A 26,651-nucleotide genomic window follows, 5' to 3' on the forward strand; every position below is an offset into this window, starting at 1 on the left:
GGCATGGAGTAGACGGGGAAGAGGAAAAGGGACAAGAACAGTTTTCACAAAGACCTAGTGAGGCTCTTTGCTTTAGAATCAGGGCAAAGGGTGACAGAATTAGGGCAGGGGACGAACGCCCCACATCTACAGGGGAGACAGCCAGGCTCCACTGCATTCTGCAGGACCCTTGGTTCCAGATTTGGGATTCACCAGTAACGAAGAGTTTCCCCTGGTGATGCAGAGGTGGAGGGAGGACAAGGGGTGGGGGTACTGATGTGGAGGCTGAAATGCTCCTAGAAGCTCCACCCTTCTCAAATCAGCTAGAGCAGGGCCCTTTGAAAGCACCTGTGATTTAGGCCTTACCCTAGAGAAGTCGAAGTGCGGTTCATACTGTCCTCCCACTCCATAATTTGCAACCTGTGGGAAATAACAGCATTAGACCTTGTAAGCAGCATGAACAGCTCTGTAGCAGCCAATCACTCTAGGGATACCATCTTCCCAGGCCTGAAAACAACCAGAACTCCCAAGAGCAGCCTCTCTAAGGTGGAAGACAACCATGCCCTGGCAGCACAGGCAGAGCAAACATCACAAACAAGTCTACAGTTCTGTCCAAGAGTAAGGCTGCGGCACAAATGTGGTTTCCCAAACAAAACAAGATGGGTGAACTGCATATGATCACTGAGGAAAAGCACCAGCCCTTCATGGACACTCAGACAGCAGCAAAGGGAACACTGCTTGAGGCGGGCCCTGGCCTGGACCCAGTTTGTTTGGGACATATTAAGAAAGTAATCCAGAGGAAAGTGAGTAACAAATTTAAGACGAGGATTTTCTTTTTTAAACTAGTTTTGGAGGTACTCAGCACCTGGCACTGTTCCTACCACCTCTGCTATTCCTGGTGAGACTGAGTGGGGCAGACTCCCACAGTGGTCTACTGCATGGAGTGAAACAGCACAACATGGGTGGCCAGCTGCCAGGCAGTCAAGAATTACCGTGCTACATCAGCAACCCCAGTGTGACCCTGGACCTGAAGTAACATCTGAGCAACTACCAGGTGTCATAAATTGGATTAGAAATTGTAAATGCCTTTGTGGACAGCTTATCAGCACAATGGGAAGTCCTAAATCACAATTATTGTCTCAGCGTCAGTAGACAGAATGAGAGACAAGGTTAAAGATGAAGCACAGAATCTGACATGGAAGCTGATGGATCAAGTAGCACCACCAATGTCCATCTGGGAACAGTTGGCTATTGTGTCTCACTGAAAACATAAAAACCTCTGGGGCTAGGCCATAAGTTCTCAGAAAGTTGGTATTTTTTGTATATCCTTTTCTGCAATCCCAACAGTCAGGTGAGAGATGCTACAAAACTAGCAATAACAGAGACCTATAAAAACGTGGGACAGAAGCCAGGCGTGTTGGCTCACGCCTGTAATCCCAGCACTTTGGGAGGCTGAAGTGAGAGGACTGCTTGAGCTCAGAAGTTTGAGACCAGCCTGGGCAACATAGCAAGACCCCATCTGTCTCTACTAATGAAAAAATTAGCTGGGCACAGTGGCGTGCACCTGTAGTCCCAGCTACTCAGGAAGCTGAGGCAGGAGGATTGCTTGAGCACAGGAGTTCAAGGTTGCACTGAGCTATGACTGTGCCACTGCACTCCAGCCTGGGCAACAGAGTGAGACCCTGTTTCACATACACACAAAAAAAGAAATGCAAGAAAGAAAGGGACAGTGGACTTTATAAGAGATGAAATCCTCTTATTAGAGCACAAAATGTTGGCAGTATCATTTTCCATGTCTACAAAAATAAAAATTTTAATACAAAGCATGGATGAAAACATGTTGTCATCCATTGCTTCAGCCTTTAAGATTCCTGTACCAAAAATACCTGGAAATCCTGTCAACAGCACAAGGAAGCCTGGTTCAGCAGGTGGCCCTAAGGCTGGAGATGCATCTAAGGAGAGAAGTGCCAGAGCAGCTGAGAAAGCATATCTCTTTTTGTAGTCAAGAGCTTGAAGAAAATTTTTTTCTCTCTCCTTTTTTTTGGGGGGAGTGGGGGTAGAGACAGAGTCTCACTATGTTGCCCAGACTGGTCTCAAACTCCTGGCTTCGAGCAATCCTCCTGCCTTGGTCTCCCCAAGTACTGAGTTACAGATGTAAGCCACGACACCTGGCATGGAAGAAAATTTTAAACACAACTGTGACTGCTGTGCAGGTACACTCAGGAAAATTCAATTAGTGCTTGTTGCTGGAGCTGCAAAGTATGACTGCATTTTCCAATACTTCCACTTGTTAAATGGATTGCTTAAATTTACAAATCCCAGGCAGTGAAAGAAGCTGCATTGCGAGAGCTGGCTCATCTTTTAGGTTTGGAGAATTATATTTGATTATGGTTCTGAAGCCACCGTACCTACTTTCTTTAATACAGTTCCCAAATAAGTACAAAATGCATAGGACCATCTAGATTTGCAGCAGTAAGATTCCCTATCCAGGCATACTCAAGTCCCCAGGCTCACGCCTTTAATAACAAGAAACTGTACGTCAAGACCGATTCATGTGAGGAGGTATTCACTTAAATCTTTAGACTTACTATTGTAAGAGTGGGGTCAGTTATTTGAAAGATGTGGGTATTTACAATGCTAAGGACAGAGTAAAGGCAAAATTAAAAAGGTCAGAAATCACTTTTCTGGTGAGGCTGAGACATCATGCAGCCAAAGTCTTCAATCTTTAGAATCCTAGAGGTGTAGCATCTCTTCCTCTCTATCAGATAAGCCCTCATCCAATTCACCAGAAAGCCTCAATTACCTTTTTCCTTCAAATGATCTACAGCAAACATGTGAGCTACAGCTGAAAGAATGTCAACAGATAGAAGAACCAGCTCCTTTCCAGAGGCCTGCAGCATTTCCTAAAGGACCTGGTGTGAGGGCTGTTGCTGGTGCCTAGGCATGTATCATACCACAAGCATTTCATATGGAGTAAGCACTTAGGGATACATGCTGAAACCCAGGTTCCTGTTCCCCAGACCATGAAGGATCAAAGCCTTCAATACCACTGACTGGCAAAGGAAATGTCGAGACAGTTCCTAGGAGAAGAATACAAACAAAAATGGCATCTCAACCACTTGGCAGCTGTGGTCTGAATTTCCAGAAGATCCTTAACTATAAGAGCCCCTCTACCAAGAGGTCTGGCATTCGGGCCCCAGACAATTGAGCTACAACACAATGAGAGGCCAGACAAGATAAAGGCTGAATTGTAGCAGAGAAGTCAGTCCATAGGCAAGAAGCTGCTATCTTCCACGGGTGAGTGTAAGACAGGGATACAGTGAGTACAGCCGCACAGCTAGCCAGGAAAGCAACAGAGCCACAGGTCCTGTCTACTCAGCCTCTTGGTCCAGGGTATGAAATCAGCCAAGCAGACTGTGGTCTTTGATCAGGACCATGAAAGTCCTGAAGACTGGCTCTAACACAGAGGAAGCAGTGGCAGATGTCTTTAAAAACAAAAACAAAAACCTGCTCCAAGAAGATATGAATCAAGACAATGCCAACAGGGACTCATCTAGCACATCAAGAGTGCCTATCACTCTTGAAATGGTGGTGCTCTTACACATACGCAGCAAGTGGGAGATGAGGCAGAAGTCCTCCATGGATGTGCTTATCTGCAGAATTTATTTAAAAATTACAAAACACTAAGTTGAGCTGAACTGAAAAAAAAATTAAAATTTCACAGTACTATTTGCAAGGTAATCAGTATGCTTTTTAAAACTCTGGTAGACTTCACACCAATCCATAAAGATGACCTTCAAAATTGATTTTCCAATTGCTGATGCAGCTACACAGAAAAAACAACAAAAAGAAGGCTGATTTGCTTAGGCGTGTCCAAGCAAAAGTTCAAAAAATCTTTTCCAAATGATCTTTAATCAATATTCTAATGAGATCTATGGTAGATCAGACCCAAATGCCAATCCTAAAGGTAAAGGCTGCTATCTTTAAGTATACAGAAACTTTGGCCAAACAGAGAGACCCAGAGGCCTCTAGAAAGATGCCAGTGAAACTTCTCTGATGGTGTCTCAGGTCATCAATTTTACAACAGAACACAGAAGTTCCAATATTTATAAGGGAACATAGCCAGTGCTGATTTGGACTCAATACCCAAGAGGACACTTTACTAAGCTTTACCCAAGAGGATACTTTAATAAGGAGCTTTACCCAAAACCTTTCAGCAGGGTGCTGCCACATTTCTTCAAAATCACCTCTGAATAAAGGCAGGAAGCCAGGGTCCCAGTGGGAGTACTTGGACAAGAACATTCCACCTGCACCAGCTTAACCAGTCCAGGCCTCTCACTTCCACCTACATATCACAGTGTAAGGTCCCCCAGACCCACCCCGCCTTTCTTTCTTTGTTCTGACTGAAAATCAGACTCCCTTGACAGCTCTGTGACCCAGCCAGCTGCAGGTTTTTCCCTTCAGGCTGGAACACAAGCTGGAGTCTTCAACATTCCCAGGCACTGATGAAGGTGTTTAGGTTGTTGCCCATAACACTGAAAGAAACTAGCCCCAGCCCTGAACCAAATTCCCTAAACCCTCAAATAAACTCCACACTCTGACTCCCTCACTGTGGAAATACTTAGGTAAAACAATTCTTGTCTCTTGCTGTCCATTTTGAGGATTGCTGCAGCCCACTCTGCAAGTTCCCTAATAAATGCTGTGGACTGAAGACCCAGGGGTTTAGTGCCGCTTTCTTTGAATTCTCAACTGACCCCATCTTGGCAGTCCCTCATGGGAAGTCCCCTGCTGCTGCTTTTGGAGCAACTTCAGTTGTGGTTCAGCAGGAGAAAACACACAGAATACTTTGACCTTCAAATGTATTTGATTATGACACAGAACCATGGCCTCTGAAGTCATTTTTAGCTCTCTTAGAGATGTCCCTGAGACCATTCAGGATTTGAGCTTCTGTTGTCAAGAAGACATGAACGAACCTACCATAACTACCCCTGATCCCTAGCTTGCAGCACACTTGGGCACACAGCAGATGCTCAATAGATATTTGTTGAACACTAATTGTTGAAAGCCAGCAGGCATGATTAATTCTGGTTTCCTAAAATGAGATCACTCCATATTCATAGCATCAGGCAGTAGTCATACAGTTGGGCCTCTTGGCCCAGTTCTGGACACCCTGTGAGACCATCTAGCCACAAATACCCACTTCCCAACTCCTACAGTCCCAGGTACTATCTGTACCTGTAACAATTCTGCAGTCTTTACTGTTAACCCTGTGATATGCTGCATCCGACGATTTACTCGGGCCACAACAGGGTCATCATCTTCCTCTAGCCAGGAGCTGGGCAAAAAGAAAAGGGCAGAGAAAAGAAGACGGAAGGGCAGGCTTCCATGAGGTCCTGAACTCTGTCCCCAGAGTCAGGGCCAGCATGAACAGGCAGTACAGGATGCCTGCTGCAAGGGGGTGAGGAGGTGCCAGCAGGCAGGAAAAGGCAAGCCACCCATCCCTAGGGTAGGCACTGAGAAGTCCTGAAGTTGGGGCTTGAGCAGCTACGAACCCCTGCTCTTTGCTTACCTTTTGGAAACCCGGTAGCTGGCGACAGTGAGGACTCCTGTCTTGGGATCACGAACGGTGGCTCGTGCAAGCTAGAAGGAAGGAGGAGAGGGAAGACTTGATTTGTTTGTTTGTTTGTTTTGCCTTGAATATTTTCCCAGAGAGCACTGGGACCAGATTTACTGCCATGCTAGTGGAGGAAGCTTTGCAGCCAATGGCTCTAGCCAAGGCCCCAAGATCCTGCAGGCCAGTTGAGGGCAAGAGTCTGAGGCCTCCACATTCCCAATCCGCAATCAGTTCCTGGCTATTGCCCTGCTCGGTCACTGCTCATCCCTTCTCCTCCCCAGGTCCGCTTTGCCTGCAGAATTATGCCTGCCTTGTCTACCCATGCATCTGCCTGACTAGCCCCTTTCCTTGCCAGGCCCACATACCACCCCTGCCTGAGCACAGCCTGCCTGAGCTTAGCTACTCCCACCATTTTCAGACTGTGCCACCATGCCTGAGCCTCCGCCTTATGTACTTCTCTCAATTGAGTCAAGTTCCACCATCCTTCCGAACCTCAGTGGGCTCCTCTGCCAAGAAACCCATCCAAACACTCTCCTGCTGCACCACCTCACACTGGGTTCCCACAGCCTCAAGAAGCAAAGACAGATGGCACAGTTTTCGCTCCCTTGGGATCCTTACAAGTCAGATGATAAAACCAGGAAAAGATTCTGTAAGTTAAAATAAGTGAACCACTGCCTGGAAGCCACCCACTCATACAGGTACACACTACACATGCACTCCCTGCATCTACTTCATCTCCCCCAGCCTCCACAGTTAGGCTTAGTGAAACCCCAAGGGGGACTCGCCGCCCAGAGCCAGCCAACATGGCAAAGGTCCATGTGCTTCAGCTGTGGACTGTCCTCATGACCTCACATGGGTGGGGCCATAGGCCCAGGTACTCCCACCCCAACACACTTCCCCTTGATTTCAATAAATATTGATGAGTGCCTACTTTGTGCCTGGCACTATGCTAGGTAACTGAGACATGGCCCCTGCACTCTTACAACTCAGTCAAGTGGGGAAAGCAGAAAACCAGTCAGGTAACTGCAGCACAGCATGGGTGAACTTACCATCCTGTGGAAGCTCAGGGTATAGTGTCAAGAATAGCTTCCTAGGGGAGGAGACCACCTAGCTGAGGCCTGAAGGGTTAACATGAGTTATCCAAGTAGAGGAACATTACAGGAACAGGGAAAGAGCAGCAATCCAGAGGCCTGGGAATGAAAATGGGTGTTGCAGTAGGTGTGGATTAAAGGTTATGGGAAGTAGTAAGAGAGAACAGGCTGAAGAGACAAGCAGGGGCTAGGAACTAGATGCAACCTTGTGGCCAACGAGAAATGGGGAAGGCTTTATGCAGGGGAGGGACACTCAAAATGTGAATGTAAAATGGATCACTGTGAATACCTCATGGAGAGTTGACTAATGAGGGGCCAGAGTGGGGACTGGGAGGCTAGTGAGGCCACGACAGAGGTCAGGGCAAGAGATGATGGTGGCCCGGGCCAGGTGGTGGCAGAAGGGATGGAGAGGAGTAGATGGACCAGAAGGCTAGTAAGGGGGTGAGATGGACCAACTTGGACACTGTGCTGCTATGGCATGATCTGGTAAGATGGCCAGCACAAGCAGGACAGACGGCTCCCAAGCTCCTACTCATGGCCCTTCCTGAGCTTCAGCTCATGTCAGTCCCTCCCTGAAAACTGCAGCCACAGCCAGACCCCATCCAAACATCTGTGCCTCAGCATTGGCCTGACACCCACAAAGAGGCTCTGAGCAGCTGTGCTCTGCCCCAGGGGAAGCACAGGGCTATTTTGAAAGCAGGCCAGAGACCCCACAGACAGCTGCCAGGCATTCCCCACAGGCCAAGTTAAGCTCATTGGCTCTACTTCAAAGCCAGAATAGCATCTGTCCCTCACAGTCTCCGGAAAGGAGGGGTCAGCTTATCTTTGAATAGAAGCCATGTTAAGAGCCAAACATGTTTGCCAACCTTGTTTGGCTCTTTGCATGGCTTCTATTCAAATATATCTTTTCCTAACACTACCCTCTGGCCAGCCACACACATGTGTACACATATGCACACATGCACAGAGAAATGTTCTCAGTGTCTGGAACTGAAGAACGGGTAAGAAATCTCTCAGGAAATCCTGGCACAACCAACAAAGTAGTTTTCTTTCCTGGAGGACTCTGGAGCTGAGTAGAAAGGGGAGTCCTAGTCCCCATTCTCCATATATCTGGCTAGCCCCCTTCCTCAGCCACATCGATGATGCCAACCACTGACTCAAAGCCCTAGATGTCCTAGTACCTCAAGCCAAAGCTGTTCCAAGATGAGGTCCAGGGGCCAGGATAGGAACCTATTTCAGGTCTCTCCATGAGTGTCGGGCCTCCTGGTCACCTCGGCCCCTACAATTCTATTAGGAGCAGAGCAATAGAGAATCGAGCTAAATCCTCCCTCCCAATCATCAGTGATGGGATATGGCAGCAAATAGGTCTCTTTGAAAGATGTCAAATGGGGAACAAATCTTTTATGAACTAGAAACAGAAGAATAATTTTAAAACATGGCATATATACAAAACCAACAGCCAACTGCATTCTTAGCAGTAAAATACCATAGGAATTTCCAGGAAATTCAGGAATGAGACAAGGATGCCTATTCTACGTAATTATGCTCTAGAAGTTCTGGGCAATTCAATAAGGTTATAAAAACAAAGGAACTACAAGTATCAGGAGAAAATAAAATTTTCCTTATTTCCAGGTGTTAATGCTATCCAGGCAACCAAAGAGAAATCAGCTAAAAACCAAAAAAGAAATAAGTAAATTCAACCACTAGCTGCAATCTGTATGAGTTTGCTTTTTCATAGGTAAAACAGAGACAGTGACATCATTATGAGCAGCTGTTCATAACTGTGACATAACACTTAATATATATGTTAAGCACTTAGAAGTTCCTGCCACAGTTAAGAATTCAGTAAACATTAGCTCTTACTATGAAATGTATTTGTAAAATCAATAGTTTGGCATATAATAGTAAACTAATAAAATAATGTAACCAGTTAAAAATAATAATGAAGAAATAAAGTAAATTAACAGTAACAAAGAAACTACCAAGGAATAAACTTAAGAAATGTTCAAGGCTTATATGAAGAAAACTTAAAAAGATATGGAGAGACCTGTCATGCCCTTGGATGAGAAGACCCAATATTATAAAGATATACATTCTCCTCTAAGTCATTCACCTCATTTACAGTCCTAATCAGGAGCTCCACAGGACCCAGCTTCATAGCATCCTATGGAACATTTCCAAAAAACTCACCCACGCACCAGTCTCCCAACCAGGTGAACTGACACACCAGTGTAGACCTGCCCTGTTCCCAGCGTGACCTTCTATGATAGCACTTGGCTGTCCACATTGGTTACCCTGTTCTTCTTCCACTGGACCATGAACTCACAAGGTCAGGCTGAGTCTGAAGCATCTCTGTATCCCCACGGTAGGCCCATGCTAGATATGGATAAAGGGTGGCTAGATGGGCAAACCAACCACCCATAGTGCTAGGGATGAGAAAAAGGACCTTCCCCCTTCAGTGACCCGAGAAGGACCTACAGTGACACCTACTTTAGGTTTTGCGATCTCCTTGATCCTCTCGATTTCCTCATCAGACATGACATCGTAGTACCTGACGATGTGCGGGCTGTCCCACTCGTCCTCCTCTTTGAAGGGGGCAATGAGCAGCTGTGGGGCCCTGTTGCCATGGTGGTACCTACAGAAAAGCCTCTTCTGTCTACGGGGTGTCTGGAAAGCACAGAGTAACAGGCCCTGAGCTGAGTGAGTCCTAATCCTCGGTCCCAGTCTGGCTGTCTGCAGACACTGGACTCACCTCATGGCCAGCAGCTGCTCCCTCCCACCACACCACAGAAGAAAACAAAAGTCCCAGCAGGTGGGCATGCACAGTGGCTCATGCCTGTAATCCGAGAACTCTGGGGGGCCAAAGGATAGCTTGAGACCAGGAGTTTGGGACCAGCCTAGATGACATAGACCTGTCTCTAAAAAATTAGCCAGGCATGATGGTGCATACCTGTAGTCCCAGCTACTCAGGAGACTGAGGCAGGAGGATTGCTCAAGGCTGGGAGGTCAAAGCTGCAGTGAGCTATGATTATACCACTGCACACCAGCCTGGGCGACAGGGTGAGACGAAAGAAAGAAAAGAAAAGGAAAAAGAGGAAACAGGAAAAAGAGAAGAAAAAGGAAGGAAGAAAGGAAGGGAGGGAGGGAGGGGAGGAGAGAGGAGGAGAAGGGGGAGGGGAGGGGGAGGGGAGGGGGAGGGGAGGGGGGGAGGGGAGGAGAGGGGGGAATGGGGGGAGGGGAGAGGAGAGGAGAGCCCCTTCAGCTTAACTGGCATGAAATAACACCCCACAAATCATGCAATTTTTCTTCTCTCCCAAAATCACCTCACATCCTCAAGTCCCATGGCAGAAAGTAATTCCTGACCCTTTTCGTGAAGACTTGAGTAGGTCTGAAGGGCTGGGACAGGGGAGAAACCTTTCTTGGTGGAGGAGCCAGTAGAAGCCATGCAGACAGGGGCATGGAAAAGGCTCAGAGCCTGTCACACCTGGGCCTCCTCAGGAAGCACTAGGATCCCAGGGCTCTCAAAGGCTCGATACCAAGCTCTAGTACACGCTGGTGTCTTTACCACAGAGACTTACTCTCCACTTATACCATGACTTCTTTTGGGGCCTGAGGTACGTCCACCCATTGTTTTCTTCCCAACAGTGAGTGAAGCAAAAAGTGGGACATATTGGGGTAAGGAGGCGAGCTCACTGGTAACTTAGAGGAGCAACACTCTACCTGGGGCACGAGGGGAGAGAGTCTCCTTTCCTACACCTCAGAGAATATCCACATGTCAGCCTCAGGAGATGCCATGAAAAACTGGGGGATATACTGAGAAAAGTACCTACAGAATAAAGAACACCTTCCCCAAATCTGCCTGCCCAGAGCCAGAGTCCAGGTCCACAGCTTTGGCACCCTAGCCCCCTCACACATCTCACCAGTTTGACACCCTCCCCACGACAGAGGCTCTCGTAAACATCCCTCTCAGGCAGGTAGTCCACAGGCCTCTCATAGATGCCTTCTGGGGTTGCTAGCTCAGCTTCTGTCTGATTTGTTAACGTTTTTTCTCTCTCTTCCTCCAATAACTGCTCAAAGTACCGCAGATTCCCTCCAGCTCGTTCGTGGCTTGGGTCTAGAAAATGCAAGGAATGAGAAGGAAAAGGAAACCACAAACATCTGTTAGGTCATTTAGAGAAATTATTCTGTAAGGGTTTCTCTCCCAGCAGCTCACCTGCATGCTGCATTCTACCTTCCACAGCATCTAACCAGAGTACGCTGGTCGTAACTGGAAAACCAACAGAGGCCAGGTGCGGTGGCTCATACCTGCAATCCCAGCACTTTGGGAGGCCGAGGCGGGTGGATCACGTGAGGTCACGAGTTCGAGACCAGCCTGACCAACATGGTAAAACCTCATCTCTACTAAAGAAAATACAACATGGGGCATGTGCCTCTGTAATCCCAGCCACCTGGGAGGCTGAGGCAGGAAAATCTCATCAACCCGGGAGGCGGAGGTTACAGTGAGCTGAGATCGTGCCACTGCTCTCCAGGCTGGATGAGTGAGACTCTGTCTCAAAAAAAAAAAAAAAAAAAGGTAGATGAGTTTTAAAGGCACAGTGCTTTTGGCCTTCTTCAGTCCAACAGCACAAGGCACACAAAGTATCAATGCCATATGAAGTCCTACTATTAGACCTCAGGCCTCTAATAGCACCGCTACTGTTTGTCACTGTAACAATCCTAAAGTACAACCTGACTCCTGAGCTGCTCCTGATGTAGTAAAGGTTCCACCCTGTGTAGTCCTGCATGGTGACAGATACACCATAACAGAGTCCTTATTAAAAAGGCCCACAAGTGCCACAGGCCTGAGCGTATCTATCAGCGACTGCGCAAACCTAAGGCCAGGATTGAGGTGGGTAAGGAGCTAGTAAGAAGCTGGACTGGTCCTAAAGTCAGTAAGGCATTAGTCACTGGCCAAGTGACAGGGTAAACTGACTCAGTCCCAGGAGAGGGGTCAGGCAGATGCCAGCACAGTGCAGTTCCTCTGCCACTCTCCATTCCCATCTTACCTTCCCCTAGAATCTCCTTACCAAGGGAGAGCAGGCGGCGGGTGAGCTCCAGGGCACGGTGCAGATCACCCAACTGGAAGACAGCATAGCTGAGGTAGTCCAGCACCTGTGACTTGGTTGTGGTGGCCTCCTCCCCGGCATCAAGCTGCTTTAGCACCTGCTCCATCCACAACACCGTATGATAATAGTCCCCTTCATTGTAGGCCGAGCGGCCCATCCCAAAGCAGTCATCCACACTCAGCATTGCCTGGTACTTGGTTCCTACAGCAGGGGAAGTAAATTGTCAGGCTCCAAAGAGCCTCTGGATTAGGGAAAGAGATTCCCACTTCAAGGAAAGCCTGAGCCACTGGATAGGGGGCATCACCAAGCAGAACTCCATCGGACATTTAGACTGCATATCCTAAAGGGCCACTGACACAGTGAGCACAGACAGATGGCCCAGCCCTGCCCTGGACTGGGGTTCACAGCCACCTCTTAGCCTCAGATTCCCCATCTCCCAAGTGGGAAGGGGCCTTTTTAGGGGGAGCCCCAGAAACCCACCAGGAAGCATTGTTGAGGACAGTGGGAAGGTCCTGTGGACCACAGAGAAGAAGATGTCTGGTGGGCAGTTTGCCATATGAGTCTAGAGGATGGAAAAATTAGCTGAATATAAAAAACATAAATTTAGGTGGCAACCAAGCCATGGGTGAGGAAAATAGCTTGCAGGAACTCTGAGGAAAGAATGGAGAAGATGACTAAGGCCAGAGCTCCAGGGAGCACCTACCCAGAAAGAACAGACAATGAATAACCCTGAGAATGAACTAAAGATAGGAGAAACAGAGGGAGCGGGAGTGGTGTGAGAGACACCAAGGGAGGCCAAGAGCCAAGGTTGCAGTGCCAGCTTTGGCTGTTAAGTGGCAGGGACCTTGCTGAGTATCAGTTCAGTGGGTCTTATGACCAAAGGTCATCTGCTGTAGAGGGAGTGCTGGAAAGTGACCATGAAGATAGTTTCAAGCCAATATGAAGAAGCAGCTATAGGGAGATGCAGGATTTAGGGTGAGCTCAAGATGGGAAAGACTATGTGTGTGGTTCCTCAGAGAATAATGAGAAAGCAGATACCATGGAGGGGAAGTGGGGGCTGTGACTCTCCCTGGAAAGCAAGGAAGACTCCCCACAGCCCCATTAACAGCAACCTGGGCATGGCTGACACAAAAGAACTCAGAGAAGGCTCTTTCTGCCTGGAATGAAACCACTACACAGTAGGCTAAATGCTTCAGAGACCAGGGTCTGCTAACCCCGGTGGCTCAGGAACCAATAACGAGGAATAGGAAGTTGGGGACAGTAAACACAAGATGAAGTCCCTAGGTAGGCCAGGGACTGGGGGGCTCCTGGAGCCCCTTTTCCTTCTCCACAGGTCTCCTCTGGCTCTGCAGGCCCAGGAACCTACATTGCTGGGGCAGAGTAACATAGCTGACTGAGCTGGGGCTCTGGAGCTGAACTAAACTAGGTTTGTGTTGGCCTCACTAGGGCGCCAACCAGCTGTGTGACTATAGACAAGTTACCATATCTAAGTCTCAGTCCCCTTATCTCTAAATAAAGATAATATCATCAATTTTAAAGAGCTTGTGGCAAGAATTCAATAAGATGACATATGAAGATGTCTCCTATGCTCCCCAGGATGCTAATGACCAGTAGCTATTATCAACATGTCTCCCAGATGCCAAGAATGCTAAGAATGGCTCCCTGGCACTCAGCATCCTCCCCAGAGCCAACTCGAATGTCTACTCCCTGGAGAGCATTTGGGAGAGTGACAGCTGAGCTGAGTGCTGATAGGCAATCAGACATGGAGTAGCCTAGCTGACATGGGTAAAGGTATTCCTATAGAGGGGTTGAGACAAAAGAGCTGAGTGATAGGGAAAGCTGAGTACAATGGGCAAGGAAGCCAGGAAAATGGAGTCATGCAGGACCCCAAAGACCACACACAGGAGGAGTTTGGGTTTAGCTTTGGAAATTAAGCACAGTAATCAGGAACTCATGTGAACAAATGTGTGCTTAAGACCACATGGAGGATGGTCTTAAGCAGTAAGCTGGAGGTAGGAGACAAGTCAGAATGGTATTTTGATAATCAAATTGAGAAAAAAGTAGCTGTGAGGCTGGAGTCAGGGGATAAGCACGGAAGACATGAGAGAAGGAGGTAGAATCCATAGGCCTTAGGCTTCTGGCTTAGGCAGCCAGAGGATGGAGGTCCTTTTTGCTGAGATAGAAGGATGAGGGGGAAGGTAAAGTGTTTACAAGGAGATGAGGATTTCAGTTCAGGACACATGAAGTTCGAGAAGTCCATGGGACATTCAAGTACAGATGTCCCAAAGGCATCCGTCTACACTGGTTAGAAGCTCGGGAGACAAGCCTTGGCAAGAAACACAGATCTGGATGTCATCCACCTCAGGTGATGGAAATGGCTGTGCTCACCTGGGGAAGGTGCTCAGGGAGAAGATGAGGTAAGGATGGAGTCCTAGGGAGTAATTCCTTTCTGCCCCATAACCCTATTCAGGACACTCATGGGTTTGCTGAGTGAACGTGAGAGGTCAACGCCAGGGTATGGTTCCCTCCTCCAAGCAACCAATCTCAAGGCTACAGAGTGAACAGATCTTGCAGGTGCCCTGAACTGCCCTCTCTCTAATGGAGTCTAAAGGGGGCAGCTGAGGTTCTGGAGCTGGAATAAGCTGGGTCTGCATGAGCCTCACACAGTGAATCGCTGGGGTTACTTGTCTCCAGCAGCCCTCAAAACATCTTCTTATAAACACTAACACTGGGAAGTCAGTGGGAGAGGGGCCACTTGAGAGAAAATGACCAGAGAGGCTAAAAGAGAAGCAGATATCAGTATGCCAGAATTCAAAGGAGGAGAGAACATCACAAAGAATGAGGCAATCTATCTGTCAAATGCTGCTGGGAAGTTAAAGAACATTATGTGTGAACCTTGTTCGCTGGGTTTACCAGCCAAGCGGCCACTGATGACCTTGTAAGAACAGCATCAGTGACAGTGGGGAAAAAGGCCAGATACTGTGAGTTCAGGAGTATATGGGAACCAGGAAAATGGACAGAGTGTAGATTACTCTATCCAGTAGCCTAACCAGGAGGGGAGAAGAGATGAATCAGCAGCAAAGACTCGAAAGACTCTCAGATACCGAGGGAGGCAAGTGTTAAGATGAGCAAGAATAGAGCCTATATGGGAGCTCAAGGGTAGAACCCAGAGAGGTGGAGACAGAATGTATAGGAGCAGAGACTGTAACTAAGAGGACTCAAGACAGGGGGATAGTAAGCCCAGATCAGCCTTAGATGAAAAGACATTGGAGGGTGGGAGACAAGAAGCAGGTCTGAATGCAGATCTGTGTGGTGCTCTGGGGACAGACGTGGAGGGGGTTCCTGAGCAGCAACTTTGGCTTTCTCTGAGATGCAAGAGGAGAGGGCCTTGGCTAATACATGGAGGGAGGTGGCAGGGCAGGGGCTGAGGGAGAAACCTGTCATGGGAGAGGGAGTCCAGCACAAACTGGTGAGCCAAGAGGTGCACCAGAGGTGCACCCGAGGTTAAAGGCCACAAGTTGGTGGTGGCTCCAACCTGTCCCGCCACTAAAGAGACACATGCGGGACAGGCAACGCCTGGAGTGGTGAGTTACCTGGAAGTTCCCCTCTGGAAATTGTGCCTGGGTCCAGCCTGTATGTGTCCTGAAGTCTCATCAGGGCTTTGGCAGCTCCTATCTCGTCCTCATCAGTGGGGAAGAACTGCCGCTGCACAGAGAGGTTGGCGATAAAACCTTCCAAATGAGAGTCAGAACAAGAGATTACCCTTGATCCAGGGGCAGAATTCCACTTGGGACCAGAGAGGCAGCCACAAAGAGGGTCTCTGGCTAGTGAAATTTCCCCGCCCCCTCCCTCAAAGGCTGTTGCCCCCTTCCACCAGGAAGTTGTCCCTGATGACTCCAGTCTATGGGGACTTTTCCTTTCTTACTCCTCACCATACCTACTGCCTGTGTTGCTCTTTGGAACTAAGTAGAAGCAGCCCCCCATATTGGTTAATATTTAGGAGTCCAGAAGTCTTGGCTCCAAATCATTCAGTCAGAGCTGGTGGAGACAGAAGAAACAGAGGATAGAGAGGGTAACTGAGAAGAGCACGGGAGAGGACTCAGGAAGAACTGTCAACCACTCAGTGGAAAATAAATCCCATGGAAAACCTTGATCCAGGGTAATTGGGCTAGTCAGGTAAACACAGACTTCCAGCACACATTTCAAGTTGAGGAGTCCAAGGGACAATGACAGTTAACTAATGAAGCCGAGCTGGCCACTCATTACTGACCACTGGCACTTATCATCCAGAAAGGTGATGATGAAAGTCCTGGAAGTCATCCCCCTCCCCCTAGGTTGACAGCTGAAGGACCACCTAGACAGGCCAAGGACCAAGGTGGGGTTGCACCAACCCAGCAAGGTCCGTCCCCTAAGAGACCACGGTGGGCCTGTTCTCCTCTGTACTCCCACCACTCAGACCTTCAATGAGTTCAGGGCATGGGCTCTCCAGTTATGGTGCTCAAGACCACAGCCTGAAGCGTGGGAGAGCTTTTGACCACAGAAGTACTCCAAGGAGGCTTTTCTGGGACTCCAAGCCCTAGCTGTAAAGTAAGATGTGTACCTCCTACAATCCCAGGTGGGAGCCAAGCCTTCCCAGGCTGACTTAGGGCCTTCAATTCTGCCTCTAAGCTGAGAAGTGAGAGGGGAACAACAAGGCCATTCCTTCCCCAACCTCTTCCCAAGAGTAGCTGTATCCACTGCCACCTATGACTTCAGACCTAAACATCCACTTCAGCCATAACTGGGGACAGGGACCAAGAAGCTGTAACCCTGCCTTCCTTGTCTTCATAGCTACATGGTCAGGGACTCTAAAGAGTTTAGAATCTGGTGGGGTGGGAGTAGGGGAACATGCTGCCAGGAAAAGCCACACTGTCAGCATGCCCTGCTCGTTTCAGGGGCAAGAACTCAAAGTCAGAGATGAAAACAACCAATTATTCTCTGGGCCTGCCCTATCTCCTTCCAGGTAATCATAAGGTTTTCCAAAGGAACCAGATGATGGTGGGAGTGTAGGGTGTGGAGAACAAGATTGGAGAGAGGAGGTCATCTGGGTAGGCTTAGTCTCCTGCCGTGCAGGCAGAACAGCCTGTCCCGAGCTGCAGGCCCAGGCGGAGAGGCGGGAGTCTGGGAAAGGCAGCCGTGGTTTCTGGAGGCAGTGAGCTCACTGGGCACAGCTCCAGCCTGGCTGAGCTCACCAATCCCTCTCCAGAGGCCACCCTGCCCCCAGGCCCAACCCAGTCTGGCCACATGGGCTAAAATGTCTCAGCCAGAGAGACAGCTAGTCTGAAGTTAATCAGCACTCACAGCTCAGGGAAAAGAGGCAGTGAAGAGCTGGGTACAATGGCACTGTGCCTATAGTCCCAGCTACTCAGGAGGCTGAGGCAGGAGGATCACGTGAGGCCAGGAGTCCAAGGTTGCAGTGTGCTACAATCGCACCTGTGAATAGCCACTGCACTCCAGTCTAGGCTAATATAGTGAGACCCTGTCCCTTTAAAAAAAAAAAAAAAAAAAAAAAAAAAGGCAGCGGGCATGGTGGCTCACACCTGTAATCCCAGCACTTTGGGAGGTGGAGATGGGTGGATCACGAGGTCAAGAGATCAAGAACATCCTAGCCAACATGGTGAAACCCTGTCTCTACTAAAAATACCAAAAAAAAATTAGCTGGGCATGGTGGCATGTGCCTATAGTCCCAGCTAGTCAGGAGGCTGAGGCAGAAGAATTGCTTGAACCCGGAGGCAGAGGTTGCAGTGAGCCGAGATCCCGCCACTACACTCCAGCCTGGTGACAGAGTGAGACTCAGTCTCAAAAAAAAAAAAAAAAAAAAAAAAAGTCAGTGAGTCCAGGGGACTAAACCCAGGGCTAGGAGTTAGGAGAGCCCACCTCCAGGCCCACCGTACCATCTCTTCTTATTGACAGAAAAGTATTAGGGCATAAAAAGTATTATCACAATAAAAGCACCAAGTATAGTTTAAAGCTTTTAAAAAGTTCACACTCTCATCGGTAATATCACTTCTAGGAACTTACCCTAAAAAAGTAATCAGAAGTATACACCAAGAAATATGTAAAAAGGTGCTGATAATTCAGAAAAAATCCCATATCCAATGACTTGACCCATTTGACAGTATTATCAGTATGACAGATTATCACCATCTGACAGGTAATCACCATCCAGCCATTAAAATCATGTTGCAGAAGAACATTGAATGGCATATAAAGAAGCTGAGAAATTCACAGAATTTTTTCTTCTGTCACAAATCTACCAACAGATATGCTTTGTTTGTAAAACATATGAATAGGAATGAATTTAGATCAGACCTATGCTCCCCAACTTGCCCTGGCCCCACCATCCAGCCCACTTGACACTTGTAAATTCATTGTCCCTCCAAGCAACTGAGTTTGCATGCCCTGGTATGTATGTATAGTTCCATTTTTTAAATGTATATGCATAGGTAGAAAAACTACAATTTTAATAATGCTCACCACTGGGCAACTGGATTAAGAATTATAATTCTCTTGTTTTTGTGTTTTCCGACTTTTCTATAAACATGTATCACTAAAGTATAATTGGAAAAATGTCATTAGCAAAAAATAAGAAAAGACAGACACTAAAAAAAAGACGCTAAAAAAAGAACTGAACATCATTACATGTTAAAAACCAAGGCCAGCCAACTTCCAGGTCCCCACAGAGAAGGGAGAGAGCCATGAGACCAGCAGGGTCCTGTTTCCACAATGTACTTGCCCACCAACACCCAGACCCAAGACAGGCTCAGACACAACAACCCAGGCATGAGCACACAAACATATGGGCTCACTCAAGCACCTGCTCACCGTCCCTCACCTGCAGCTGAGTCCTGCAGGACAAGGTCCTCCAGCGCAGGCCAGTCTGTGTTTAGCCGCTTCACCAGTTTGTAGGCATTCACAGGGTGAGCCAGGTAGCCCTCAGCATCAGCAGCTGACTTGCTAGTCAAGGCTTCCATTTTGTTGGCCCAGCTGTGGAACCAGAGGAAAAGGAAGACTAATGCGTCCACCCACATAGGTCTTGACCTGTGACAATTTTCCTAGTGAGAATTCCCTGGTGCCAGGTTCTGGGGCCCTTTTCATCAAGAGGCAATGAAAAATGAATACAGTAACTCCCCACAGATACTTCTAGCCCCTTAATCTAGATAACAGCTGGGACCCCCAATGTAAGGGAAAAGGTCTTAAATAGAAAATAAACAGTGACTCCTTAGCCCATGTACTTAGCTCCTCTCAAGCACTGGCATGAAGTAACCAGGCCAGCCCCACATCACCCTCTCAAAGGTTTCCTCTTATAGGCACCCTGGATGGCTTCCTTGTTCCTTGAGGGGCAGAAGGGAAGGAAGGCCAACTAAGGATGGTTGGGGACTTAGGACACCTCTTAATCTTGGAAAGCTTGGCTTCCTCCACAAGGATGTACTCTTTCAGAGACTGCACCAGCTCTTTCTCTGCATAAATCAGGTCAGTCATGTGCCCTGCAAGGGAGAGAAGAAAGACACCAGTGAGAAACAGATGAGGGATGTCCAGCCTCCTTCCTTGGGGCACAGAATACCAGCACAGAAGCAAGTCCCCTGGGATAAGAACATGTCAGCTCTCTGAGGATTATGGGGACTTGGAGTTAAAGGGGGCCTAGGCACTCATGGGGCTCTATCTCGCAACTTCAGGAAGAAAGAGGCAGAGGCACCAAGGGGATGTTTGAGATAAGTGCACTGGATGTCACTCAAGAAGCAGCCCTAAATCTCATTCTCCGACTGTTACATAGCTGGTCATGACACTGGGGCATGGATATCCTGGGGGCTCACCACAGGATAAAAAGCTCTGAACTTTAGGTCGGAAGGATAGGAAAAGCTTGATCCTCAGGATACAAAGGATTTGCTGCTCAGAACCACTCTCTGGTCCATGGGCAAGGTGGTCAAAAAGACCAGAGAGCCCAAGTGCAGCCTGCACTTCCCAGGAAGAAAGACCCAATTCAGACATCTGGCTCCCTGAACATCCAGATCATTGGGATCTTATAGGGGAAAACAGCAACTCTGCCAGTTCCACTCTCCTCAGAACTGGCCAAAACCAGTAGTTAAGGCTATCCCACTCTAAATGAGAACAGGCTGCAGCCAGAGACATCCGTGGCATGTGAGCCAAGGTGTCAGGGAGACGACAGTCCTGTTGGCACGTACCAATAGAGGTGAAGAATTCGGCCTGCACACAGCTCAGGACACCAAACCAGGCCATCAGCAATGCAGACACCCAGAGTTTCATGGTCACAGAGGGAAGTGTCTGAAAGGCATTCAATGACAATCACTGGATCAACAAAGTGAAAAAGACTAATTTAGGTGAGGAGACACATAGGCATGTACACACATATGCAGATAATCAAACATATCAAAATCCTGGCCTAGCACACAGAAGCTAAAAAGGACAAACAGCAGAAAGAACAAAGAGCGTGCAGCCAGTGATGTGTGCTCAATTCTGGTCCCTGCTCTGGGAAGTCACGTGCCCTGCGGAGAGAGCCCATCCTCTCAACTCCCAGCAACCACCTGTACCATGAGAAGGCGGAATCGCAGTGGGGTACAGTCAGCTCGGGTTCCAATGGTCTGTCAGTCCAAGATTCTGGCCCACTCCTTCTTATTTCACAGACTGCTGTTTGTTTCTATCTTACCTTCCAACACATATGCCAGGACAGTGCCAGGTTTTGGGGAACCAGTCCCTGCCCACAAGGAGGCAACAGTACATGAGAGACAATAACAGAAAGATAATTTGACACAATATCCTCCAGAGTACCAACACCCAAACTAAGGTGTACAACAGATGGCCAGCCAGAAGAGGAATAAAACTAACCCTTGTCAGTCTGCACCTGCCAGAGAAAGAGCAGTCAGAGGAGACAGTCTCCTAGGTAGACAGTGTTCTTCCTGTAGTAAGGCTCCTTGGCAGACACTGTTCTCACTGGCCCGTCACCATTCATTCACAAATATTTACTGAAGACCTGCAGATGCCAGGCACTGATCTAGGCACTCAGGATACAAAAATGAATATGGCACACATGGCCAAAACCTCAGGCTGGGCTGCTGACATGGGAAAGGGGCCAGCTACTGTCTTCTCATCAGCCCAGAAATAGGCACAACCTGAGACAAACCCCACTGGCAGTAAACCTCAGTCCACAACAGAAGCCTCCGATACCGTCTCCCAGCTCAGCCATGCAGCCTAGACTGTGCTGGAGGATTAGCACCCATCTGTACCCCAGCTCTGCCGGTCTTCTTCCTGCCCTGCTTTTGAGCACCCCACTGGAGTGCTCAAATGGAAATTCACTAAGACAAAGCAAGCAAAACAAAGGAAATACAAATGCTTTCCCAAAAAAACATAAGCCTTATCTGACAGAATTCTAAGTCTAAGATAATGCCAGTTCATCAGTTTTTTGCCCGCCATACTTGATTAGACACACAGCACACCCACCATTCCTCATCTTACTCTTTCAGAAGAAATCCTAATCCATTGAGATTCCAGGTTAGGCTCAGAGAAGGCCAACCACAACTCCCATCTGCAAATGGATCCTCTATCAGAAGGAAAGCATAAGTGAATGGCGCCATGTGTTCATGCCTATGCCAAATGTCTGCAGAGCTGACAGTCTTCCTGTCATAGTCTAGGTGTGGGGGTCCCAAGACACACAGGACAATTATCTTCCAACCTGGAACCTGCTGCAGGGTAGGGCGTATTGTGCTAAGGGGTCCATTAGGGAGTTAGAGCAGCAGAAGAGAGCAAGTCATCAAGAGAAAGTGAGTAAGCCTGGGCTTGCCCTGAGGCAGAGTCCAGGCCCTCCTGGTTCTAGCCACAGGTCTGCTCCAAGGCCTTACTATACTGTCTTCTCTATCCCAGGATTTCAGAAGGCTTCTCTCTTGCTTACACAAGCCCCTTATACCTAAGGGATTGGGTGTCTGTTTCTTGTTCCTCAAAAGGCTTGACTGGCTCAGGCTCAGCACCTTCTGTATGTATGTAGGGAGGGGACAGTGAAAACATAGAGCTGGGAGGATGTATCTGTGATCAGAAAGGGACCAGCTGACTGCTCCTCAGAGCTGGGGTGGTGGGAGAACAGGGCCCAGGCAGGTTCCAAACCAGACATGGTTGGAAGTGGGGAACCCAGCATCTCTACCCAGGTGTGTCTCCAGTTGCAGTTGCATACCTTTTTAGAGGCCAGATAAATTCCAGGGAGGAAGTCTGTCCATTCCTTTCAAATCATTCTGCTCCTATCATCTACGGTTCATACCTCACAACACTCAGGGAAAGCCAGGTTTCTTCATTACATGAATACCAGCTGTGATTTCTCTGGAATGTGCGATCTGGCTTAGACTGAGCCCATTCTTGAATCTCAGCCTGGAGGCAGAGCCTCAAAGAATCACAGATAGGGTTTGGGCAGAGCCTCAAAGAATCACAGATGGGGTTTGGGCAGAGCCTCAAAGAATCACAGGTAATTACAGATGACTTACCTACCAAGAGCCTGCAAAGTCTTGCTCTGGTGGGAGAAGGGGATAACTAACTCTGCTAGCCTGGAGAGCTGGGCACCTCCAAGCAGCAGCTCCCAGACTACCACATCAACACTGACATCTCTGGCAGGGGTACTCTGGAGCCCTACCCCATTTCTCCCAAGCCTGGGCCCCTTAACTCAAAAGGCTCTGTACAAAAAGTCCTCTAATTAGAGTCAGATTGGGAGGAGGCAGCATCCGAGAGGGACTGTGCCCCACAATGTGGGAAAGGCCAACCTCCAACCCATCTCATAACTATGCCCACAGCTTGCTTAAGACAGAGTAGGTGAAAGTATGTGTACCTGCTGAGTGCCCCTACAAAGTGTCCAGTGCTGCTAAAAGCCCTCCCAGAAACCCTCAGAATCCAACTGGAATAAGTCTGGAGGTGAACAATGTCAAACCCACTTTTATGAAAAACAAAGTGACATCTTGAGCAGAAAACCAATACTGAGTTTTATCTGTGCTGCATCCCCAGAGTTTAGAACAATGTCTGTCCCATACCAGGAACACAACAAAAAATACTTCACCACAGACTTGTTCAAATTAGGAAACTACAACAATAGAAGATTTTACATTTCTTCTATACAATGAGTTTTTATGGAGTATATTAAAAATGAATACTATATATCAACATGAAGAGATCTAAGCATACTGTTAAGTGAGAAAAGTGGGCCCCAATAATATGCACTCTATAATTCCATTTTTGTAAGGAAAAATTAATGTATATGTGTATATAGAGAGATGCAAGAAAAGAGTCATACATCTGGCTATATCTTGGTGAAATAATTTCTTTTTATTTTTATGCTTGTTTCTCTAATCTTTCTACAAGAAATTCTATAGCAATTTTTAAAATTATTTTATCATATGCTTAAAATGTAAAGAAAACAAAGCAGGCCCTTCTCAAACAGACTCCAAACGGGCCCTGCCAGCCCTAGTGTTTGGACCCCCACAGGAAAGTCCTGCAAAACCTGCCAACATCCCAGCAACAGTGATTCACCCATCAGGCGACTGGCACTGTTTCTAAACACAGGGCAATTCCAAGACATACAACCAGAGGTCCCACCAAACCTGAACTTTGGAAAAGACATTTACAATCTGGCCAAATGGCCATGAAAAGATGTTTCCAGCTGCAAACCAGCAGCGTCCTTAGCTTCTCTCCTTACCTCATCAGGCAGAATCTCTGCCAAGCTCCCAGCTGCAACCCAAATGCAACAGCCTGAGTTTTAACAATGTATTTAACAGCCTAGAGACAGAACATGAGCTTGCTGAGAACAAACTGGTCTTGCTTGGCACTGAACAAGAACCTGCCTGCCTTCTGTGAAGGGGGAAAACCTAACTGGACACGGCTCCCCGCTGCCTCCAACTCTAGGATAACAGGGCTGAAAGGACCTGTGTGTTCAGCCTAAGAGGATCCAGAGGCTCCAGGAGACCCTGCCACCAAAGCACATGGATGTCCATTCAGGCCTATAAGCTGCTGCCACGGCACCCTAGGCAAGTATGGGGGGTACCCTACTCTCCTTAGCCTCAGTCATCACCCTGATCTGAGCCACCCCTAACTTCCCCTACAGGCATCCTGGCCCCCACTACACTGGCCTCTCCACATGTCATCTGGCCTTCCTCCCACCTCTGCTCTACAAAGTAGCCAGCATGGTTTATCAAAGCCCTCCTTTGGCTCTCTACTGCCGTCAAGATAAAGTTCAAACTCTTTAGCCCAAAGGGTCCTTTTGAGTGTGTGACCAGGCCCTACTGCCCTCTCTAGCCTCATCTCACCATGCCAGGTTTCGTATCTTCAACAACTACTTTATGTGAAAAAATATTCTCCTTCACGAAGAACCTAATAAAGCCAAGATGTTTATCTGTATCTATCCACATACTTTCTCAGTCTGGTACATGAATAGTGGTTGACTTCCACTTCCCCACCTGGGTACCATCACCACCACAAAGTCTTGCTTCAGTAACTAGACAATGAAGTAGCAGAGAAGGCTGTTAAAACTGACATGCAAAAGCCAAGTTGGGTTTTCAGTCATAGTCTTGGCAGAGACTTGGCAGTCTGGATGAGACTAACCCACAAAAGGGAACTACACTTGAGGATAAAATCCATATACCACTATATTGGATGCATCTTACGTCCCACCTTGCAACCTCTTGGTCTCACCCATCTCCCAGGTCCCAGGGTATTTACTTTGCCTCAGCCCAGTGGAGGAGACTATCCAGGCCCACGCCAGAATCTCTGGCTCCTCTCACTATCTCCAGACTCTGTTGAAGTACCAGACTGGCCTCCCCAGTGGCTACCAAAGGGCCCTCATAGGGTAACCAAGTACATCTCTGTGCAGAGTAGCCAGCTTGCTAAAACACCACCTCCCATCCTCCTTTATACCTCACTTTTTTCTTTTGTTTTTTTGAGACAGTCTCGCTCTGTCGCCCAGGCTGGAGTGCAGTGGCACAATATTGGCTCAATGCAACCTCCACTTCCCAGGTTCAAGGGATTCTCCTGCCTCAGCCTCCTGAGTAGCTTGGACTACAGGTGTGTGCCACCATGCCCAGCTAATTTTTGTATTTTTAGTAGAGATGGGGTTTCACCATATTGGCCAGCTGGTCTTAAACTCCTGACCTCAGGCAATCCATCCATCTCGACCTCCCAAAGTGCTGGGATTATAGGCATGAGCCATCGCACAGGCCTGCACCTCACTTTTGTTTTCCCTCACCCTGGCTGCCCTGCAATTACACCTTCCAATAAAGCATTAAGTACTTAAGCTCTGTCTCAGGCTGTTTCCTGGGAACATAGTCTGAGATAAGCACTATTTGTTTCCAAAAATCTTTCATTTCTACTATCTAATTCTCACCCAAACCTTCTAAGCTAGATAACTACCTCCATTTCAGATATAAGATAGATACAAATGACAAACAGCTGAGGCTGAGAGAAGGTTTCCTACATATCTGACATCTGACAGCAAATCAATGACAGAACCAAGAGTCAAACCCAAAACACACTCTGCTAGATATTGCAGCTATCCAGTCCTACTCAATAATCTGTTACCTTAAAGTGCAATGGACTCCCAAACAGGGAAGCCACACTTTGCCCAGGAAGAACATGCCTGCCCAGGTTAAGGACTTTATCATGGGTTACACCAAAGGTTCATAAAGCAGGTCCATGACACGCCTGGCTGGATCTCACCAGAGGGAGGAACGCAACATGGACCCAGAAAACAGCAACATGGTCCCTTAAGTTCAGATGGGCAGTCACTCCTACCTTAGACATGACAGCACTCACAAATAACCAGCCAGTCCAGCTCAGGGCAAGGCAGTACAGTCAAATGGACAGGCACACCTGCCCTAGGGTCAGACATACTAAGAGTTAAACCCCAATTCTATACCACTTCCCGGCTTTGTGACCTTGGACAAGTTATAGGATTCCTCAGTTTCCCCATGTATATAATAGAGACAATACTAGGACCTATATCTCATAGGGCTGTTGGAGGACTGAATGTGATGACAGATGTTGGCAGGTAGCCCTGCACTAGGCATAATTTATGTCAATCATTAGTACCAAGGGCACCAGAGAAACATCAGTGGACCTGAGGCAGCCAGCTGCCCAGCCCAAGTCAGCTGATTCCTGGGTGAGAAAGAAGGTCCAGACTAGGGAACAGTGAAGATGCAAACAAGGCAGAAATTGGGCGATCTCCATGTTCCAGGAGCACCACAAGAAATGAAACATTTAATTCAGGAGAGACTGGAATCAGGTATAATGTAGTACATTGATCATCAGGGGATAACCCTGGAACTGGTCAATCACTGGCTCTAAAGCTCATCAAGCAATGTTCTCTAGCAAAAGGCGGGGGATTGGACCAATACTCTAGGAACTCATGTACTTATATGCCTCTGACCTGCTCATTCCAGGCTCCTACAAGTACCCAGGCCTGAGGATCTCCACTACACCCTGGCCCTCAGAGTGCCAGGTACAAAACAGGCCACACTCTAAGCAAGCACTTCCTGAAAGGTCCAGAGCAGATGCTGGCCTGTTACCAGGCTCAGATAGATTCCATCTGAGCTGGAGAGCACTCTACCCAAACACTTAATCCTCTGCCCTGCAATGACACCAGCTGAACAAGAACTCTCTTCTAGGGCTCCAGTAAATCATCCAGACTTTTCATTCTCCTCTGCTCTGAGGAAAAAAAAAAAAAAAAAAAACTGTCTTTCTATCTCTCATTCCATGTCCGTAACACAAAGCCCACAGACCACAGGACCTTCCAGCCCTCTTTGCTCTAGGACAGGCTGATGTCTTACCCTAAGGAACTTCAAATGT

At 47.9% G+C, this 26,651-nt stretch overlaps 1 protein-coding gene and 1 non-coding gene across 10 annotated transcripts in view, besides 2 other annotated features; both read right to left on the reverse strand.

The window, feature by feature from the left end:
• Positions 1–26,651, reverse strand: part of P4HA2 (prolyl 4-hydroxylase subunit alpha 2) — a 37,707-nt gene that overhangs the window by 8,387 nt on the left and 2,669 nt on the right. For 8 of the 9 annotated variants that reach the window (NM_001365677.2, NM_001017974.2, NM_001142599.2 and 5 more), the window contains 10 exons: positions 20,012–20,111; positions 19,219–19,315; positions 18,664–18,815; positions 15,383–15,520; positions 11,751–11,990; positions 10,605–10,798; positions 9,175–9,351; positions 5,549–5,619; positions 5,215–5,314; positions 346–399 (listed from right to left, as the gene is read on the reverse strand). In NM_001365677.2, coding sequence (NP_001352606.1) covers positions 346–399; positions 5,215–5,314; positions 5,549–5,619; positions 9,175–9,351; positions 10,605–10,798; positions 11,751–11,990; positions 15,383–15,520; positions 18,664–18,815; positions 19,219–19,315; positions 20,012–20,093 — 1,305 coding nt within the window. In that variant the 5' untranslated portion in view covers positions 20,094–20,111. The remainder of the gene's footprint in view (positions 1–345; positions 400–5,214; positions 5,315–5,548; positions 5,620–9,174; positions 9,352–10,604; positions 10,799–11,750; positions 11,991–15,382; positions 15,521–18,663; positions 18,816–19,218; positions 19,316–20,011; positions 20,112–26,651) is intronic. The other variant, NM_001365681.2, reaches the window with a different exon arrangement.
• Positions 8,911–9,412: an enhancer, noted in NCBI's record as "H3K4me1 hESC enhancer chr5:131543137-131543638 (GRCh37/hg19 assembly coordinates)". NCBI's record gives its function as "activates a minimal SCP1, AML or CMV promoter by ChIP-STARR-seq in naive H9 embryonic stem cells {active_cell/tissue: H9 hESC(naive)}" and the evidence as "EXISTENCE:reporter gene assay evidence [ECO:0000049][PMID:30033119]".
• Positions 9,413–9,912: an enhancer, noted in NCBI's record as "H3K4me1 hESC enhancer chr5:131543639-131544138 (GRCh37/hg19 assembly coordinates)". NCBI's record gives its function as "activates a minimal SCP1, AML or CMV promoter by ChIP-STARR-seq in naive H9 embryonic stem cells {active_cell/tissue: H9 hESC(naive)}" and the evidence as "EXISTENCE:reporter gene assay evidence [ECO:0000049][PMID:30033119]".
• Positions 19,316–19,385, reverse strand: MIR6830 (microRNA 6830). Its single transcript, NR_106888.1, has one exon. It is a non-coding gene; the product is annotated as a microRNA 6830 (primary transcript).

The sequence above is a fragment of the Homo sapiens genome, chromosome 5 (genome assembly GCF_000001405.40).
Source record: "Homo sapiens chromosome 5, GRCh38.p14 Primary Assembly".
Taxonomy (NCBI): domain Eukaryota; kingdom Metazoa; phylum Chordata; class Mammalia; order Primates; family Hominidae; genus Homo; species Homo sapiens.